At 42.5% G+C, this 21,382-nt stretch overlaps 1 protein-coding gene across 14 annotated transcripts in view, besides 4 other annotated features; it reads right to left on the reverse strand.

The window, feature by feature from the left end:
• Positions 1-21,382, reverse strand: part of M1AP (meiosis 1 associated protein) — a 90,448-nt gene that overhangs the window by 11,760 nt on the left and 57,306 nt on the right. For 9 of the 14 annotated variants that reach the window (XM_024452711.2, XM_047443433.1, NM_001281296.2 and 6 more), the window contains exons 5-7: positions 12,032-12,205; positions 6,814-6,976; positions 5,796-5,937 (exon numbers count right to left, since the gene is read on the reverse strand). In XM_024452711.2, the coding sequence (XP_024308479.1) occupies positions 5,796-5,937; positions 6,814-6,976; positions 12,032-12,205 (479 nt within the window). Of the gene's footprint in view, positions 1-5,617; positions 5,938-6,813; positions 6,977-7,242; positions 7,283-12,031; positions 12,206-21,382 lie in introns of those variants that run through there. The other 5 variants (XM_047443432.1, XM_047443431.1, XM_047443430.1 and 2 more) reach the window with 4 other exon arrangements.
• Positions 1,505-1,604: an enhancer, noted in NCBI's record as "active region_16078". NCBI's record gives its function as "activates an Ori minimal core promoter by ATAC-STARR-seq in GM12878 lymphoblastoid cells {active_cell/tissue: GM12878}" and the evidence as "EXISTENCE:reporter gene assay evidence [ECO:0000049][PMID:35858748]".
• Positions 2,602-2,811: an enhancer, noted in NCBI's record as "active region_16079". NCBI's record gives its function as "activates an Ori minimal core promoter by ATAC-STARR-seq in GM12878 lymphoblastoid cells {active_cell/tissue: GM12878}" and the evidence as "EXISTENCE:reporter gene assay evidence [ECO:0000049][PMID:35858748]".
• Positions 7,843-8,022: an enhancer, noted in NCBI's record as "active region_16080". NCBI's record gives its function as "activates an Ori minimal core promoter by ATAC-STARR-seq in GM12878 lymphoblastoid cells {active_cell/tissue: GM12878}" and the evidence as "EXISTENCE:reporter gene assay evidence [ECO:0000049][PMID:35858748]".
• Positions 8,842-8,941: an enhancer, noted in NCBI's record as "active region_16081". NCBI's record gives its function as "activates an Ori minimal core promoter by ATAC-STARR-seq in GM12878 lymphoblastoid cells {active_cell/tissue: GM12878}" and the evidence as "EXISTENCE:reporter gene assay evidence [ECO:0000049][PMID:35858748]".

Here is a 21,382-nt window from a genome sequence, read left to right on the forward strand (position 1 = left end):
GGGATTACAGGTGTGAGTCACTGTGCCCAGCCCTCCCTCACTCTACTTCTATTGATTAAAGGAGAAGCCTTATCAGCTTTATTTCTTAGTATTTTAAATAGGTAGAAAGAGACAGGACCTGAGAGAGAGGAGGACTACATTATGTCAGAGAGGCTAAGTCAATTTATAATATATGGCTGAGAGAGGGAGGAAGAGGATTGAGAGAGAACAGGGACTGAGGAGGTAGAGATAATTTGTGTGTGTGTGTGTATGTGTGTGTGTGCATGCGTGTGTGTGTGTGTGTGTGTGTGTGAAAGGTTCTAGGAACAGCTTCAGGTTAGAGATAATTGAGGAGTGGGGGAAGAAAATTTGAGAAATGTCATTATGGGTTATGAACTAGATCCTTTTTGGTGTCCTTTGAATACACAAATCACTTTAAAATTTACTTTTGGGCCTCTGATAGTGCTTCCATATATGCCATTTGTGCAGAGACTAAGCCACGTAGGGGCCATTAAATTTGTTAGGGTTACAAATAGATGAATACACCAATACTTAGTGAGGGTAAGCAAGTTGCCTAAGTTCACACAGTCGGGAAATAAAAAAAGCGTCAGGAACCTAAGGCCGTCTGATTCCACAGTCCAGGATTTTCCTGGACAACACAAATTATATTTTACTACAACATATTAGAAAACTGCCTTGCCTTGACTCCTCCAAAAAGAGAAGTAAGAAAGGGGGGAATTTCTATTCTGGGCCTAAATTTGACCAAAGCCTAGGAATTGGTTAGTAAAGTGGGGAAGCGATAGAAAAGGCACTATGTCAATCTGGAGTTTGGGTAGTCAAATTATATCTGAGACTTTAATCTCAAACATAGGATCCTATATTTAAAAACCTATTTGAAATATGTTTTTCTCCAAAAAGAAACAGCATACAAATGTCTAATGACAAGTGGAAGAAACTAGAGAGCTCCCATTCAAGAAGTACCATTTGAGTTTGGTCTTTCAGGATAGGGTAGGATTTGAACACACAGAGATGAGAGAAAGGTCAACATGAGCAAAGGCTCAAAGGTGGAAAAATTTAAGGTTTCTGTATTAATTTGGTTGGAGTGTATGGTACATGAAGGGGAATAATGGGAGATAAGGTGGGACCTTGAATATTAGGCTAAGGAATATGGACTTTATGGATAAACAATAGTAAGCCACAAAGTATTTTTCAGCTGAGTAGTGGCAGAATCAGTGCTGAATCAGATTAATCAAAAGATTAATCTGTTGGCATTATGTGAAATGGACTAGGAATGGGAAGCACTAAAAAAGCATTGAGACAAGTTGAGAGATTATTGCAGTATTAAAGGAAAGGTTAAAAGGGCTTGAATTAGGATAGTGATAACAGATGCTATAGGGATAGAATAGGCAAGGTGTAATACGTGATTGAGTATTGATACATAGAAAAACATGTGATAGGGGAATGCTTCAAGGAGATTAAGCTAGTGCCAATGTGCAGGGAAAACCAGAAGAGAGAGAGATTGGAGGCAGGGAAGCCAGTTAGGAGTTTACTGAAGAAGTCTTGGTGAGACAAGCAGTGGGAACAGGAAGTAAAGGAGAGTTACAACTCATGTTATGAGTGGAAAATTGATATGACTTAGTGATGGAGTAGGTGTAAAGGGTGAGATGGCTGAAAGTGACTGAGGTTTCAAGCCTGGGTGACTAGACAATGGCGGTGCTGCTATTAACAGAAAGGCAGAAGTTAGAATGAGAAGTTGGCTGGAGGGGAACATTACAGTGAAAAACAGAAGGCAAGAGAGTTAAATATGGAGCTGACTTGAAATCAGATTTTAAAAGAACATATGAAAAAGGTATATGAAAGAATAAAAAACCAAAGATGGAGTTAAAGAAGCATGGCAAACTTGTAAAAATAGGCTTAGGAGGTTAAAACCCTAAATAAGTCTCGTCACACTTAAAAATATTTGTGTTGAATTAATGAGCTGAAGTTTGTGAAAAGTTTGTACTCTATAACATACTGCCATTCAGGATTTTTGCTGCTTGGAGAAAATGTCATGTGAAAAACAAGAAGGAAGAGGCATTTAAACACTGTTTTGCGGCCAGGCACGGTGGCTCACACCTGTAATCCCAACACTTTGGGAGGCTGAGGTGGGCAGATCAACTGAGGTTGGGAGTTTGCGACCAGCCTGACCAACATGGAGAAACCCCGTCTCTACTAAAAATAAAAAATTAGCCAGATGTGGTGGTGCATGCCTGTAATCCCAGCTACTCGGGAGGCTGAGGCAGGAAAATTGTTTGAACCCAGGAGGTGGAGGTTGTGATGAGCCAAGATTGTGCCATTGCACTCCAGGCCTGGGCAACAAGAGCGAAACTCCGTCTCAAAAAAAAAAAAAAAAAGAAAGAAAACTGTTTTGCTGCTGTCTTTTCCAGAATAGGAGAGTGGTCTTTAATCTAGATGAGGTGGACCAAACGGAGTAAAGAGAACAGCAGTACAAGATGAGTAAGCCGTTGTTATGAGTACTGTGCCATTTTAAGTGAGTTCAACTCCGCTGAAGTACAGAAGCATAGGGTGTAAGTGAAGGAGAATTAGCTTCAGTGTTATAGTCTGTATTTATCTGGCTACATCCAGAGTAGGGAATTTAGCAAAGAAGTTAAAAACATGGGCTTTGTAGTCAACAGAACTAGGTTCAAATTCTTTTTAAATTTTCTTTCTTTCCCACCCCCCCTAAGCAGTGTCTCCCTCTGTCGCCCAGAGTGCAGTGGTGCGATCATGGGTCACTGCAGCCTTGAACTCCTGGGCTCAGGCAAGCCTTCCACCTCAGACTCCCGAGTAGCTGGGACTACAGGTGTGAGTCATTGCTCCTGGCTAATTTCTTAATTTTTAATAGAGACAGGGTCTCACTCTGTTTCTCAGGCTAGTCTTGAATTCCTGGGCACAAGTGATCCTTCTGCCTTGGCCTCCTAAAGTGTTGGGATTACATGTGTGAGCTAGGTCCTCAAACTCTGACAAGACTACTTTGGTAGCTGTGTGACCTTAGGTAACTTACTTGGTCTTTTTAGGCCTCAGCCTCCTCCATCTGCAAAAGTTGGGATAACAATCTCTACTTCAGATTATTGTGAGGATTAAATGAGGTAAAGTATGCAAAACACTTGGTTAAGTGACTACCACTTAGTAAATGCTCCAAAATATGGGTATCTACTAGTGACAGGTCAACTACATCCCTGCCCTTTTCCAAGACAGAAGACTAACAAAGAAAAGGTCTCTTCATCTCTACAACAGTGCTTGGCATACAGTGGTGAGTAAATATTTGATAAATAAATAGACAGATAGATAAATACAGATCCTCAAACCCTGAGTTTAGTGGCAGGGAGACTCTAATCTCGTGTATGTAAGCCAGGATGGAAGGGAATACTTTTTCCCATCCTTATTATTACTATTTTTTTTTTGAGACAGAGTCTCACACTGTTGCCCAGGCTGGAGTGCAGTGGCACGATTTCGGCTCACTGCAACCTCCGCCTCCCAGGTTCAAGCGATTCTCCTGCCTCAGCCTCCCAAGTAGCTGGGATTACAGGCATCTGCCACCACGCCCAGCTAATTTTTTATTTTATTTTATTTTTAGTAGAGACAGGGCTTCATCATGTTGGCCAGGCTGGTCTCGAACACCTGACCTTGTGATCCACTCACTTCGGCCTCCCAAAGTGCTGGAATTACAGGTATGAGCCACCGTGCCCAGCCTATTATAACTATTTTTTGAGACAGGGTCTTGCTCTGTCGCCCAGGCTGGAGTGCAGTGGTGCGATCTTGGCTCACTGCAACCTCTGCCTCCCGGGTTCAAGTGATTCTCATGTCTCGGCCTCCTGAGTAGCTGGGATTAGAGGTGCGTGCCACTATGCCTGGCTAATTTTTGTATTTTTAGTAGCTGTGGGATTTCACCATGTTGGCCAGGCTGGTCTTGAACTCCTGGCCTCAAGTGATCCACCTGCCTTGGGCTCCCAAAGTGCTGGGATTACAGACGTGAGTCACCACACCAGGTTATAGTTCCTATAACTTTTCCCCTACTTAGGACATTTGAGTTGTTTCTAATTTTTCACCACTGTAAATAACACCGAGATGAACATGCTGGTACATATATCTTCATCCCTTTCCTGACTGTCTTCTTTGGCTACATTCCCAGCAAAAGGAAAGGGTATCATTTTCCGGAAAATTTACATCCTCTCTAGCAGTGTATTAAAATGTCAATGTATGTTTAAAATATCAAATACTGTAAGAATGTATTGAAGCCACCTGGGAGAAATTCCTCCCATGTGATGTATCATCTCAGATTCTGAGGAACTGGGTGGAGTAAATAGTAAACTGAGCTGTTGGGCACTAACAGTTACAACGGCTCCGTTGTCTCTGCTCTGCAAAGACAGGAGATGGGTGTTCTTCAGACAGGAAACAGGAACTCAGTGGGTGGACCTAAAAGGGAGTGCGGGCTTCGAAACAGGAAAAAAAGAAGTCTGCTTCTGATAGTGAAAGAGATGCATTGCTGTGCTGTCCTGATCATCCTACTAAGTCAAACCTTTATTCTATATCTGTCCTTGCATTCTATTTGCAGTTGTTTTAATTTTGCTAAGTGTTGTGTTAGTTTCATGTGACTGCTTTTATTTTTTCCATTTCAGGGAATGACATCCATCTAGTTGTTCAAGTCAGAAACCATGCAGTTATTTGATACTTCCTCTTTCTCACTCCCTATATCCAATCTCTCAACCAAGTTCTGACAATCTTCTCTCTAAAATATTTCTACACTTGGTCATAGCTAAAAGGCCAAGAAGCGATTCTAAAATATTTCTCTAATTGGTTTGCTCATCTCATCTTGACTTCCAATGTTCTAGTTCAAACCACCACGGTCTCTTGACTAGTCTACTGCAATACCCTCCTAGCTCATTTTCATGTTTCCATTTTTGCTTCTGCGAGTTCATTTCCAAATTTCTGCCCAAGTAATATTTTAAAAACTGAAATAGATAATGTTATTTCTCATGATTTGTTTCCCTAAGTCCAAATCCTTAATTTGGCCTACAAAGCTTTGCATGATTTGACCCCTGCTCACCTCTCCAACCCTACCTTTTGTCACTCTCTCCCTTCCTCCCTGTTTCAGTCACAATGGCTTTTCTGTTCTTGATTTTTCTCTCAGCTCTTTCCAGCCTTAGGGTCTTTGCACATGCCTTTCCTTACACCTGGAATGCTCTGCCTGCCACCCTTCACCTGGTTAATTCTCACTTATCTTGTAGGTCTTAGTTTAAATGTCACTTCTATAGACAGGCTTTCTTATAGCAGCTTTTTCTTTTCCTTTATAAACTTCTCATAATTAAGAATATATACATTTCTGTTTCTTCCATTGGAGAGTGGGTTTCTTAAGGTCATAGGTAATGTCTTTTAGGTCACTACAGAATATATATCTAGGGCTTGACACAATGTCTGGCATAGACTAAATGCTCTTCATTTAAATGAACCATAACGTCTATCAGTGTTAGGAAGGAAGTAGGTTTTAAAATACAGGTACGTACGGAAAATTCCCTGTTGCCATTTAAATGTTAAGCTTGCCAATCGGGGATTTTCAAGTTTAGTGTTGTATAACTGAATTCAGGAATTATTCTCTATAGCATGAAACCAACAAAAGGCAAGTCATATTTACTCCAAATTTCAGAGTATTTCCAGTTTTTTCTGTCTTCTTGAGGGTTGAGGCAGATTTAGGATTGGGCAGAGTTAGTTAGCTGCTTTTCTGTGGTTGGTACTTTAAAAACGATTCTTCTTTTTCACCTGGGGACATGGGTACTCACCAGCAGGCTGTGACACAAAGCATGGAAATGTTGCTGATTTGTCTCCAGCTCATCCCAGTCCAGCTGCCAACAGCTTGTAGGTCTGAGGATGAACGGGAGTCCATATGTCAATGACTCGCAGAGCCCGCTAGATTTTAAAGCCCTAGGAAGAGATAATTACAGTCAAAGACTCCTTAGTGATATCTAGAACCTCCACCTAGATCCACTTCAATTCAGCTTAACTCTAAGACAGTACTGTGAAAGCTTTTAAATTAGTGTCTGTGAACTATGCATCTTTGTATGGCCAGCATCTAGCATAGTATCTAGCACACAGAAGATTGTCAAAGTTCAGGAACCTGTGCATGGGCACAGTGGTAGGAACTGGGAAGAGTTGAAGCAGACTCTGCCATTATTGCTAATTCATTGTGTTTTTTTGTTTTGTTTTGTTTTTCTTTCAAGATAAGGGCTTGCTCTGTTACCTAGGCTGGAGTGCAGTGGTTCAATTAACTCACTGCAGCCTTGAACTCTTGGGCTCAAGCGATCCTCCTGCCTCAGCTTCCCAGAGTGGCTGGGATTACAGGCATGAGCCACCGTGCCTAGTCTGCTAATTCTATCCTACAATTGGTTCTCCTGGAAGAAGGAATTCTAGTACTTAGAGAAATGGGAGGGGGCAGGGGTAGATCCTATGTACCACTTACTCCTTGAAGGTTGGATCTCTGTCTTGATGCCTAAACAAAGTAGCTATTCAATAAACATTTACTAAATGGATAAACACCTTTTTAATGAGTCAAAAGAAAAACAATCCTCATGCAGACCTCAGAGTGTTCTACTGCAGCGCTTCTCCCACCATCTGCACATTTGGCCTCCACATGCTGAGTAGCCTGTCTTTGCTTCCTCATGCCATAGCTGTAACTGCTACTTCGGAACTGACTCTTGCCTGCCTGACACTTAAGAGATACCATCTATCTCTGGAGTTCCTAGCCACAGAACCACTAAGAATAGCATTTGCATGGATTGGGGAGGTTCCCTTGGACCATACTTGATCACTTGGAGCTTGTAATGAGAGGCCGATGACTGGGAAGCCATCTGGTAGAGTGTGATGAAGTCTCCTTTAGGGTCATCCATTCTCAAGGAGCCGTCAGCTGTGCCAGCGAGTAGGGATGGGCAGAGCAGTCGCTCTTGGAGATCACATTTCAGACACACTACAATAAAAGGAGATTACATTTCAGACACACTACAATTGGAGGAAGGATTGTGGGTAATAAGTTACCTTAGGCTATGCCATTAAGAGACAACATCTGCTACCCATTCCATCTCTACCAGGCAAGCAAGGGATAGGAGGAGGCAGGAGAGTGGAAAGAGGAAAGCCTGACTGGTTTGGAAAGGGAGAACAGGTCTGGAAGCTATAGTATCTCTATCGCTCTACATAAAAGTTAACTTATCTTCAAGAGTCTGACATGATCTTTACTTGTTTTACTTCTGGGCTGGCTGAGCAGTTGTCTCATAGTGAGACATCTGGCTTGTGATCCAGTCTGAGGAACATGTATCCTCTGTGGAGGAGGTAGCTAATGCCAAAATATGCAGAGGCCCTTTGGCAATCACAGAAGGAAATCTTGCTTCTGCTGCTTCCTTGTGGCTAAGCTTTGGCAACAGTGCAGGTCAGATGAAGGAAGAGCAGTAAAGCAGAAGTCAGGCAGTCAGATGACTGCTACTGTTTCTCTGTGGGCTCGTTCAGGGACATTCAGAGTGGGGGGAAAGGAATAAGTTCCTGAAATAGCTTATTTTTTAATTCCCCAAAGAAACATGAATTTAGGACCTTCTGGGCCTTGGAGCATCACAGTGGCATCAGACAACAGTTCTGAGGAATGCTTAGGCTAGGTAGGAGTTACTCATCTAGGTATTTTACTCTTCTGCATTAAGCTTCTGCTCCAGTAGGTAACTGCATATGCCATAGTGTATGATGATCTGTTACACAAGCTTAAATCCTTGATATTACAAAGTTCTTCAATAAAACGTATACCTGGCTTGAATAGTGATAACAAACTTGTGAATATACAAATGTTGAGTACTTCTGAGAAGGCTGGTAGTTGATGCTAGTGACTTGTGAAATGACTGTACTAACTGCAATATGAGGTAAAAAACAACATAGAAAAAAATAGAGTGGCAGAACAGATGTTAGATCCAGCTGGCCCTCCTGGGCCCTGTGAATAAGACCTAGACATTAGGTCTTATCACATTAGACATTGTGAATAAGACATTCATTCTGGGTGAGACGGCCCTCAGCCTGACATGTCCCAGAGCACAGGAAGTCAGTAGGAGGGACTTTGCCTAGGACTCCAGCTTCCTCTTATTTCCTCTGTGCCTGACTTCTCCATTTCCGGTCCTGAGGCTTTAGGACTGGACAGCTGTGTTCATCTGGCAGAGGTTTTCAATTCTGGTTGCAGTAAGAATCATCTAGGGCAGCAATCCTCAATCATTTTGGCATTAGCGACTGGTTTCATAAAAGACAATTTTTCCATGGGGTGGTGGGGGATGGTACTGTTCCACCTCAGATCATCAGGCATTAGTTAGATTCTCATAAGGAGTGCACAACCTAGATCCCTTGCATGTGTAGTTCACAATAGGGTTTGGGCTTCTATGAGAATCTAATGACATAGCCGATCTGACAGGAGGCGGAGCTCAGATGGTAATGCTTGCTCACCTGCTGCTCACCTCCTGCTGATCCAGTTCCTAACAGGCCACAGGGGTTGGGGACCCCGATCTAGGAAACTTGAAAAAGATACTGATGTCTGGGCCCTACCCCAGACCAACTGAATCAGGGTCTCTGGGGGTGAAGCCCAGACACTGGTATTTTATTATACTTTAAGTTTTGGGGTGCATGTGCACAATGTGCAGGTTTGTTACATATGTATACATGTGCCATGTTGGTTTGCTGCACCCATTAACTCGTCATTTACATGAGGTATTTCTCCTAATGCTATCCCTCCCCCAAACCCCCACCCCATGACAGGCCCCGGTGTATGATGTTCCCCACCCTGAGACACTGGTATTTTTTATAAGTTCCCCATGTGATTCTTACTGCAGCCTGGGTTAAGAAATACCCAAACTGTGGTCTCAGCAGAGTGTCCCAAAGCTGGGAAAGCTGTTTTAGCTGGGCTTGAATCTAGAACCAGGTGTGCTTCTCCCACCCAGAGCCCAGATGCAGATGTGGCAGACACCATACCTAAGAACAAGAAAAGAAACTCATGTGTAACTCACTGTGTGCTCTGTCAGAGGAACGCCTTTCTAAGGGAAGCACCTAAAGACGGGGTGAAGGGCCCTAGGCAAAGAAGCAGCTGGCATCAGATAGAGAACCTTGTAAGAAGGAGTCAGAGTGAACATCTGAGATGCATACCCCAAAGAGTCTAGAGGAGGAAAGCTTGGGTTTTTTGTTTTGTTTTCTTTCATTTTTTGTAGTGAGCCATACTCCAGAAATCTACATGTGTGGCAATACATCAATTTTTAAAATAATAATGCCAGCATAATCTTTATTGTGTTTAAAATCTCAGGTGGGTCACATCCACCCTAGAAGAGGCCTAATTTCCCCAGACCTCATTCCAGCTGTGCCTAAACATCTGGATTCCAGTGAAGACCTCCCCAGCAGAAAAGCTGACTGCAGTCTGGATATAAGTTCCACTGTGCATCCCGAAGACCTACAGATTTCTGAAAAAATGATTATAGATGGAGTTAAATATTCTGGCTCTGATCCTGGTGCTGAAAGCTTTGGAAAGACAGAGGGGAAGCTAGAGAAATTCTGATTAGCACCATGGGCAAATGCCATGTGATAGTGGAAGAAAGGCTGGTTACAGGAGTTCCTGGCCTCTGAGGGCACCAGCCCTCCTAATGAAAGAAGTGAATCTCTAGCCCCTTTGTTCAGAATTGCTTAGCATGAGGCAGGTTAATATAGTAGATAAAGGCCCAGGTTCTGGAGGAAGATAGACCTGGGTTTATTGACATTGTCTGGGCTGAGAGTGTCAAGTGTACAAAATATAGATTTCTGATCCTAAGGGTTAAGAGTGGGCCCTGTTGCCTGGCTTCAAATCCTAGCTCTGCTACTAATTTTCTGTGCAGCCCTGGGAAAGTGTGCTTAATTTCTCTAAGTCTCAGTTTTCTCATATGGAAAATGGGGGTAATATTGTATTTAATTGATTCTAAGACACATTTTTTTTCATCTCTGTATGTGTCTTACAATTGCCATTGGCCAGGCAGGCACTCTAAGTCCTTACTTACTACTCTAACCTAAAAGAGCTCTCTCGATACAGGTAAAATACTACTTCTAAGTGACAAGAAAGAGCTGTGTAATGTTTAACGGGCAATGTCTTCTTTCTTTTTTTTAAAAAAAAATCTTTATTATTAAAAACATTTTTTTAGAGATAGGGTCTCACTCTGTTGCCCAGGCTGAAGTGCAGTGGCTCCATCACAGCTCACTGCAACCTTGAACTCCTGGGTGCAAGTGATCCTCTTGCCTCGGCCTCCTGAGTAGCTGAGACTACAGGTGCATACCACTGTGCCTGGCTAATTTTTTATTTTTATTTTTTGTAGAGACAGGTCTATGTTACACAGGCTGTCATTAATTCCTGGCTTCAACGGATCCTCCCACCTTTGCCTCCCAGAATGCTGGCATTACAGGAGTAAGCCACTGCACCTAGCCTGTTTTCTTTCTTACTGGTACATAAAATAGTGGTGTACCTTACAATTGATAGCATCTTAGATTCAATGACATATGGTAACAGTATCTGCCTCATAGTGTTATGTGAAGATAAAATGGGATAATGCAAGAAATGAAGTTAGTGCTTGGCACAGAGGCAGGGCTTAATAATGTTAGCTATACACTAGCTTCTATATAAAGTTGCTAGCTGCCTTAAGTAGGGAAAACAGATAAGTGAAGTCCAGAGGATAGGACAGGGAGAAATTGGTACTATCAGCCTTGGACAAAAGAGGTGGAAAGGAGGTTCTGGGAAGAATATTTTACACAAAGAAAAGACAGATTAAAATCAAGTTAAGTTGGCAAAGACATTCTGGGCACTAGGTTGAAATGGGGGAGAGAGGAAGAGACTTGACGGCCATCCCTAGACAGAAAGGGTCTTGGGAAGCCTTAATCCTGTGTAGTAACACCTCCAAAAAGCCCTCCCCTGTCCTAAAGAAACAATGGTCATAAAGAGTTCTATTACAGCTGAAGAAAAGGAACATATATAAAAACTCAAATATACTGCCAATGGCCAAGAAAGAGCTCTCAAAGGAGGCGGTAACCCCAGTGAGTCGTGTCAAAACTTATGAGAAGGGCTTTGGTAAACGTCATGTTCAATCCATTCTTCAACCCTCAATGATCTCTGTAGCCACTACCACTACCAGTATTCTGTTCAATGAGAAAGATGGGTACAAATTCCCACCCCTAAAGAAGATATACTTTGGTCATTTCTCTTTGGAGCTGGTCTTTGAGGACCCAGCTTTCCCAACCTCAGTGTGGCTGATTAGACTGATAGATGGGCCCATCTATCTGCAGGCCCAGCCACCCCAGGTCCCGCCTGAGCCAGCCTTCCGAGGAGATGGGAGAATGGAAATGGCCTTATTCCTGTCATCTAGTGGGACCTGGAATGAAGTATAATTGCCAGGCAGAACAGTATCCATTATCCAGGATATTTTTGGCATGACCAGAACACTGGATTGATCTCTCGGTTTCAGTAATTGCCTGAACTGCTTTGTGAACATGGTCTTGGGCACAGGTTGTCCTCCCTGGGGCGTATCTCTGTAGGTTCTTTAGTTTTCCCCCATTTGCTGCCTCCCTAGCGAGAAGATCTTTATTTAACCTTGGTTCTCTTCCTCTCGCCACAGGCTGTATTGATATTGTTGAGGTAGCAGCATGCTCCAAACTATAATGTCAATTATATTTACCACATTAAAAATGAGAATATTGAGAAATGTGATCCACTGTGTTCTTATGTAGTCTAGCCAATTCTCTGTCATTGAGGTGTCTCAGACTTTGCCCCTAAACTAACTGGCCCTTGCTGGTTGGGCTTAATTAGGTTCAGCTTTCTAACTATGATTGCTTCTTAGAACTTCTCTTCTTATTCCTCACGCTTATATTGGACAGCCTCATCCAACCCTCTTCCAGTCCCTAAACCTCAACGATGCTATATTCCACTGACTCACCACCAATCTAGAGTCCTGATCCCAGATAAGAATAATCATAGCCTAAATATCTTTTGGGGATTATGTACTTGGATTATCTCTGGGTCTGGAAATGTTGCTGAAACACTGTGAAGAAAGAAGAAGATGGATTTGTTCTTGGTCTGTTCCACTGTTATGTAGCCAGGCTTTGAAGAAAATCTCCATGCTGACGATATCATTGTCTATAGTCTGAAGGTCAATGTCAGTTCCCAGAATAGAACTCTCTGCAAAAGAAAGGGAAATAAAGTGTTCACTTAGATTGTAAATTTTGAGTAATATAAAATTTTGAACACATCCATCTTTTCTTTTTTGAGACGGGGGTCTCATTATGTCACCCAGGCTAAAGTACAGTGGCTATTCACATGCACAATCATTGCTCACTGCAGCCTCCAAATGCCTGGGCTCTAGCAATCTTCCTGCCTCAGCCTCCTGAGTAGCTGGGACTACAAGCACTCACCACCACGACTGACTAATTTTTTAAAAAACTTTTTTTTAGAGATGAGGTCTCGCTATGTTGCTCAGGCTGGTCTCTAACTCTTGGCCTCAAAGCAATCTTCTTGTCTCAGCCTCACAGGTAGCTGGGATTAGCTGGGATTATAGGCACTTGTCACTGGCCCAGCTTCCACACCTATTTTTTGATCCATTGACTGTATCTCTAGACATCTAGCCTAGAGACATTCTTGAGCAGTACACAAAGGCATATGCAAAGATGTTTGGTATAGCATTGCTGTAATAATAAAAACCCCAAACGGGAAGCAGTTCAAATCCCCTCAATAGGGAATATTTAAATTATGACACACTCAAACTATGGAGTATTACGTGTTTGTTAACAAAGCTAAATGTACTGACATGAAAAACTAGGAGATAGTAAGTAAATAAAGGAAGCTGTAGAACAGATATAACATGATCCCATTTATATAAAAATAAAACTATCTACATATATATATGTAAATGCATTTTACAAAGCTCTGGAAGGCTATCATCAAACTGTTAACAGTGGACAGGAAGTGGAAATAGGGCAGGGTTCTGAGATACTTTCCCTTTTTACTCTTCATACTTCTATACTGTTTGAATTTTATTGGAGTTGTGCATTTCTTGTGTTAAAAAAAATTCTAGGTGGGGCATGGTGGCTCACACCTGTAATCCCAGCACCTTGGGAGGCTGAGGTGGGTGGATCACTTGAGCTGAGGAGTTCAAGACCAGCCTGGCCAACATGGTGAAATCCTGTCTCTACTAAAAATATAAAAATTAGCCAGGTGTGGTGGCGGGCACCTGTAATTCCAGCTACGTGGAAGGCTGAGGCACGAGAATTGCTTGAATCTGGGAGACAGAGGCTACAGTGAACCAAGATCAGGCCACTGCATTCCAGCCTGGGCAACTCCATCTCAAAAGAAAAATAAATAAATAAATAAAATAAATAAAAAATAAAACATGGGAGAAAGAAATCCACTGTAAAAACAAACAAACAAACAACCCCAAAACATTCTAGAATATAAAAACCACCAAAAATTATACAGCAATGCAAATTAAATACTTAGTTGAACAAAGGGGACTTCAGCTTCATGTTATTTTACAGTGAAAATGTGTTCTATTACTACTTGTTATAAAAAATTAATTTAAAAAAATTAAAAGGAAAAAAGATGAATTTTGGGGTATCCCCTTATAGTAGAGAACCAAGCCTGGAGCATCAGTCATTGGCATACTGTATCTCACAAGTGTGGTTAACAGCAAAAAGGATGGGGAGGGTCTGGTAGAGTGTGATTTAATTCCAAATCTGAATGAATGGAGCTGGGTAGGTGGGGTAATGAGGCTTTGCTGGTGTACTTCCAGCTTCGGGCAACACTAGCTAAGGAATTGGGGCCTGGGTCTGCAGGTAAAGGTCATCAGTGAAAGCCAAATATGAGGTGGTGGAAGAAGCACAGAGCAAATAAGGGAAGAACTAGAAAGAAGCTGAGGGGGAACTCTACTTTCCTTGCTTCATCAGGAGGGATCTCTGAAATACTTTTACAAAGGGCCTAAGAAAAGCCAGTTGCTCCAATGAATTAGCTTCTGTGTATGACTCATAGACCCCAGGGAGAAGGCTGGATTATTTCTAGAATGACATTCCTGAGGACAAGTTTGCAGAGGTGGCAGACTTTCCACAGGGAACAAAGGGGCTTCAGTCCAACATACTTGTTCCAACACAGGGGAACTGTGGTGAAAATGACTTCATGTCATATTTAACAACTTATCCTGCAGCTGAAAAGGGGCATCAAATGCATTTCTCTATGGCCAGAATGATAAAAACTCTGCCATCTTCCATGAATAGTTATGAGGATTCATTGTTAACTAGTTAGTTATTTCATTCATTCCATCAGATATATCTGACACTCTGTGCCCTTATGGAGTTTATAAAGCAACATGAATCTTGACCATTTTTCCCCAAACTCTCATCTGCCTCATTATGTTTTAGGGTACTACTGTGATATATATAAAGTCATTGCCAAAAAAACATTCCTTGCAAGTAAAGAGAAATATCTTTTAAAAAAATAATGTGCATTTTATTTTGTCACAGGCAAAACAAGGAGTAATTTAATTTTTCTAAGCCTGAAGCCTGTACTTTGATTTGAGTAACAAGTATGAAAATGACTCAGCAGCTTCTCTTCAGTGAGGCAAAACAGTTCTTAAAGCATAAAGTGGCGGCTACTAAAGCAATGCAACCGAGGCCAGGCATGGTGGCTCATGCCTGTAGTCCCAGCTACTTAGAAGTCTGAGGCAGGAGGACAGCTTGAGCCCAAAAGTTCAAGACCCACCTGGGCAACATAGTGAGACACTGTCTCAGTTGCAAAAAAAAAAAAAAAAAGAAAAAGAAACAGAATTGAGCAAAGGAGCTAAGAAAAGTAGAGAAGATAAACTTGCTGAGTTGAAATAACAGAATTTTTGGGAAAAGAAGTAAGTGTTTCTTTTCTTCTCCCCAGGGAAAGGGTGGATGATGAGACACTCCTACCACAGGCAATGTGAGGGAGCAATGCAAAGCCATGTCCCATCAAGAATCTGGAAGTAAGGAAAATAAAGGTTTCCTCAGAGAGTTAAACTATAAAATCAACCAGAATGGTGAGGCCAATGAAAAAGTTACCCTAAGAAGGCAGAATGGCTTATTGTCCAAGGCAAGATTTGGCTGTAGCCTTATTGATGTTATTGCCATATATATATATATATATATATATTTTATTATTATTTTTTTATTTTATTTTTTTTGAGATGGGGTCTCACTCTGTCACCCATGTTGGAGTGCAGTGGTGTGATCTCAGCTCTCTGCAACCTTCACCTCCTGGGCTCAAGTGACTCTCCTGCCTCGGCCTCCCAAGTAGCTGGGAGTACAGGTGTGAGCCACCACACCTGGCTAATTTTTGTATTTTTTGTAGAGATGGGGTTTTACCATGTTGCTCAGGGTGGTCTCAAACTCCTGAGCTCAAGTAATCCATCTGCCTTGACCTCCCAAAATGCTAGGATTGCAGGTGTGAGCCACCTTGCCCAGCCTATATTGGCATATCTAAAGAATGAATGTGTCTATTGGAAGGGGAGAGGGTTGGCCAGAAATGCAGCACAGAGAAGGGGAACAGCGATGCGTGCTGGCAGTGCCCATCTTAAGTGCAGCTCAGAGAAGGCATGTGGACTCAGTGATGTGTCCCAATTGCAGAGATGTGTTTGTCAAGTCTCTGCTCTTTTTTGTGATTATGGTTATGGTTCTCCCTCTAAAACATTCTGGCTTATCCTTTAGTCTTGAGCTTAGGAAGGTGCGTGTTTTGCTGGCAAAATTAACTTTCTGATCCTGCGAAGCTAAAGAACCAGGCTTGAAGCACAGCCTCTCTATGAAGGAAAATGTCATGTGGTTAGGTCCTCCTGGCAGCCAGCCAGGCAGCAGTCTTCCCTGTTGTCACCCATCGATGTTCTGACATTCTTTTCTAACTTCTTAACCTACATGTTCTTGGAAGAGCCATGAAGCAGAACTGATTTCTTGAAAAAGTCCTCATATAATCTCCACAGAGGTGCTGTGTGTCGGGTTTGAGCTTTCAGTTTTGCAGTTTCAGAAGGGAGTGAGCACCTCTTGGGGGCAGACTTACATTATCCAAACTAGAGACTTATGTGTAAACCAGAACATTTTAGAGGCTAAACTTTTTTTCCATTTTCTTTGTCATTCTAGGAATTCATTTCCTTGTCCCTGATTATGGCAGTAGCTTCTTAACTGTCCTAGCAAACTCCATTTCTTCCCCTCCATTACTTATTATTACTACTACCAGTTACTTTTTCTGAAACATGGTTTCATCAGATCCCTCCTTTGCTCAAGAGCACACACTGCCTTCTTGTTGTCACTCACTCATCCTGTATCACTTGGTACTACTCATTATTCTACAAGTACCCTACCCTTCCCTTCCTCTGTGATGGCTCAGACTATTTCCTCCTCATCACTACCTGTTGAGATATTGCCATCCTTGAAGACCGAGTTCAAATGTCACCTCCTTCATGAAGTCTGCCATTATTGTATTCCTTCCATTATTATAGTCCCATAGCTTTTGGTTTACATTTGTAATATAGTTCACATTACATTTTACCTTAGTACTATTGTTATTTGGGAATACGTTTGATCTCTCCCATTTAAATGTAAATTAAAAGGTGGGAATTGTTTCTTTTCACTTTTATCCTCCCTATCAGGGCCTTGTATAGAGCTGAAGCTTAGCAAATGCCTGAGTTGAACAGTGACTCCCTCCTCCTCAGCTCTCATTACTTTTTCCTGTAACTCTTGAGCTTCATCTAAGTTAGTCTCCTTGCCACATGACTTCCTTCCTTCCTTAGTGCTTTCATTAATGTTAGCCCATGGCCTGCACCTCTTCCAGAATTCAACTCAGGACTGACTTTGTCCAAGAAGTTATGCTTAACTATATCCTCCCTTATCTAGCTTTAATTGCCATCCCTGGGTATCTGTGGGCTTCATTTGGGCAATATTAATCGCACTGCTGATTTATTTTTTTTTAAAGGATTTTCTTCTCTTTTCCTGAGTTTATGAAAGGCTTAATGGAAAGACCAGGGTTTGACTTGAGAATTAAAAGTTGTTAGCAGCCGGGCACGGTGGCTCACGCCTGTAATCCCAGCACTTTGGGAGGCTGAGGCGGGCAGATCACCTAAAGTCGGGAGTTTGAGACCAGCCTGACCAACATGGAGAAACCCGGTCTCCACTAAAAATACAAAAAATTAGCCAGGTGTGGTGGTGCATGCCTGTAATCCCAGCTACTTGGGAGGCTGAGGCAGGAGAATCGCTTGAACCTGGGAGGTGGAGGTTGCAGTGAACTGAGATCGCGCCATTGCACACTAGCCTGGGCAACAAGAGCGAAACTCCATTTCAAAAAAAAAAAAAAAATTTGTTAGCTATGTGATTTTGGGCGAAGTGGAATAGTACAACATATTTCTTAGTAAAGCACTACAAAGCGAGATGATTATCTATAAATGGCATCCAGTAGGTCCAACAAATATAATTTTCTTCCTTTTCTCTCATCCACAAAATGAACTCTTTTAGGATAATAATATATTTTCCTTTTTTTTTTTTCTTTTTTCTTTTGAGACGGAGTCTCGCTCTGTCCCCCAGGCTGGAGTGCAGTGGCGCGATCTCGGCTCACTGCAAGCTCCACCTCCCGGGTTCACGCCATTCTCCTGCCTCAGCCTCCCGAGTAGCTGGGACTACAGGCGCCTGCTGCCATGCTTTGCTAATTTTTTGTATTTTTAGTAGAGATGGGGCTTCACCGTGTTAGCCAGGATGGTCTCGATCTCCTGACCTCGTGATCCACCTGCCTTGGCCTCCCAGAGTGCTGGGATTACAGGTGTGAGCTACCACGCCTGGCCATATGTTTTCCTTTTTTAAAGCTTTTTTTCCCTTGGTCACTGCTTTCTACCCCCGACTACCATACATTGAACACCAACAACTAGTATGTATTGTGTTCTTCACAAATACGACTAAATGTGCTAAATCTGGGGATCGGGGAGGAGACTTCTCAGACGTTGAAAAACAGCTCCCTCACTGGCTGGGGAGCAGGGTACCCATGCACTAGATGAACGGGTCACACCAATGGCATGAAATGGAAAGGTTACAGGAGTGAAACGGTGGCCCTTAGTGTTTGGATAGTTAAAGCAGTGAGGAAGGCCTGGTTCACTGCAGCCCAAGCTGCAGCCAGCATTCACATTGTTTTTGAACTTACCCTGCCCTCCTGCGGCCACAATGGGAAAAAACTAAGAAAGCCAAATGACTGAAGATTAGGTAATACCTGAAGTAGACCCTCTCAGAAGAAACCTTAAAATAGGGTTATAAAATTAAAGTGTGTTTAAAATAGGAGACTTTAACATACATACGTGCATATACAATGTCTGTATTTCTCTCTTCACATAAAATATAGAGGCCCAGGAAAGTAGAGGCCCAGGAAAAGGTGCTCTTGCCCAGTCCTCCACATCTTCCCCCGTCTCACAGGGCCCTAACCTCTAGGCCTGACCTGTTCCTTTCCGAATGACATTCATGAGGCCTGTACTTGGGTGTCATGGATGGGCTTCAGACATTCTGAGAACCCCTTGAAATTATATACAATTCATCTGTACATGCATAGATGTATTTTGGTGGGGTGGGGGAAGGGGGAAAGCCCCTAGCTTTTATCAGATTCTCAAAAGAGCTCTATGACCCCAAAAAGGTCAAGAACCACTACAGAGACTATAGAGTCACAGTATCTTAGCCTGCCTGGGTTGGTTTACAATTAGCTGTCTACTCTCTGAATACAGGATAGCTATAGGATGTTAACAACCAGGGTAAGTAATCACAGCAGATAAAGCTTAGTCAGGAACAGCAGTGCAGCATCATCCAACCATTGTCTTTAAATCAACACAACATGAGAATAATCTAACAGCTTACAACGGTGAGGCAGTCAAGCTTGTCTTTCTAAGCTCATTTGCCTCATTTGTGGAAGTGATGCTTGGACCCTAGGAAAAAGGAGAAGCCCCTTGAAAAGAGTTGGCAGGGGTGGTGGTAGTGGTTATCAACATGTGAACTCAGGGCAGAGAGGTGACTGCAGGAATGGACCTAGTGGTGACTATCTTCCTGGAGCCCCAGTCTGTAAGAGGGTCAAAACATCACCATAACTGTAATGAGATAGAGAAAATTTATATCCCAGAACTCTTCTCAGAGAGAGAGAACTGTTGTCATTCATTCATTTGCTTAGTCATTCATTTATTTAGTCATTCAAGCACTTATTAGTTTACTGTCTTTTATGAGCTAGGCACTTATTGGTGTCATCAAGAAAAGAGACAAATTGCCTACTTTCGTGGCTTACATTCTAGTGAGAGAACAGATAATAAGCAAGCAAATAAAACAGAATACAATTTCAGATGATAGATACTATGAAGAAAAATAAAGGGGCGTGTGTGTGTGCACGCGCGCGCGTGCATGCATGTGAAGTTTTAGCTTGGCTGGCCAGGGAAGTATTCTTTAAGAAGCTGACAGTTGGGCAGAAACTTGAATGACGTGAAGTGAGTCATAAAAACATTTGTGCGAAGATTGTTTCTTATAGAGAGATGAGCAAGTTCAAAGGTCTTGAGATGGGAATGAGCTTTTTGTGTTGGGGGATTAGCCAGAAGACTAAAGCAGAATAAGGAAGGAAGTGAGGACTAGCTAATAAGCTGCTGGGGTGAAGGACAAGACCCCCAAAGTGGCACACTCATGTATCAACAGGGGTCACTACACTTGCTTTGAAGAAGGGTGGGTTCCATTATTGCAATTTGGTATTGCTCAGGAACTGTGCAAGAGTGGGGCAGAGTAAAGCAAGTTCCTTTTTCTTTCTCTTTTTCTTTGTAGCTCTTAGCTTCTAAACAACTACTGAATTAGCATTTTAAAAATATTTGTTTGAAGGTGTGCCCAAGCTATCAGCTTGTGTAAGGTGCCACATGTCCCAGCCCAGCTTTACCGCTTATGCTTTCCTGTTGTGTGGTGCTGGCAGGCAGTGGGGAAGGAGGGAAGAGGAATCTGGGAGTTCCATGAGCAGAGCTCAAGCAGAGATCCTTCAGCCTGTAGTGGACATGCCTCTTTCCCAGCTCTGGTCAGCTACCCAGGGAATTCTATTGTTAGCAGTTGTCCATTCACCTGCCCTCATCAAGCTAATATAGTCTAAGGCAGGCTGAAAAAAATAATTGACTGTTAACTAAAGAACTAATGGTTCACAATGGATGATTTATATTATGGGTGTCCAATCTTTTGGCTTCCCTGGGCCACATTGGAAGAATTGTCTTGGGCCACACATAAAATGCATCAACACTGATGATAGCTGATGAGCTTAAAAACAAATCTTATAATGTTTTAAGAAAGTTTACGAATTTTTGTTGGGTTGCATTCAAAGCCGTCCTGGGCTGCATGCAGCCTGCGGGAAGCAGGTTGGACAAACTTGATTTACATAATTTCTGACTAGGGAATAGTGGGTTCTATTTGGGCTGCTATCACAAAATACCACAAACCAGTGGCTTATAAGCAACAGAAATATATTTCTCACCGTTTTGGAGGCTGGGAAGTCCAAGATCAAGGTGCTGGCAGATTCAATGTCTGGGGAGGACCTGTTTTTGGTTGATAAATGGCCCCTTCTCACTGTATCCTCATATGGTGGAGGGGGCAGACAAGCTCCTTAGGGAACATTTTATAAAAGCACTAATCCCATTCAGGAGGATTCTGCCCTCCCTCATGACCTAATCCACCATTCAAAGGCCCCACCTCCTAATACTATCTATTTGGTGATTAGATTTCAAAGATGAATTTTAGGGGGGGCGGGGGCGGGATACAACATTCAGACCATAGCAGACTCCCTTAGCTCTAAGATAGGTCCCAAATACTACAATTTCAAATGTAGTATTTCAGCCTTTAGTAAACAGATGAATTGGGTAAGAAAAAGTTTAGAGAGCAATTATTTTGGCTGGGAGAGTAGCCTTTTTATAATCTTTTTCTTAGGCTTGTGTGTTTCTAAGAGGGCAGAAGTGGGGACTGCCCTATGAGAGAAGCTGCACTGCACCCCTCACCTCTGGAGCCACGGAAGTGTTCCCGGATTGCCAATCCCACTTTGAACTGAGTGACTTGCTCTGCCCTAGACAGTCCAGAGAGAAGTTATTGCAGGTACGGGAGAGAAGGGCCCTGGTTAAGGCAGGGTATACCTGCCTCTGGCACCAGTTGTAGCACCTTATCTACCTCTGTACCCACAGCACTAGCGCAGTGTTTACATACAACAGGGGCTCAGTAAACGTTATATTGAACAGAAGAAACTAGCCAGCCTGGTGCTTACTTTCTCTGTGACCTTAGGCCAGTCACTTCATCTCTTTAAGCTCAATTTCTCCATTTGTAAAGTGGGAATGAT

This window comes from Homo sapiens, chromosome 2, assembly GCF_000001405.40.
Source record: "Homo sapiens chromosome 2, GRCh38.p14 Primary Assembly".
In the NCBI taxonomy this organism is placed as follows: Eukaryota; Metazoa; Chordata; class Mammalia; order Primates; family Hominidae; genus Homo; species Homo sapiens.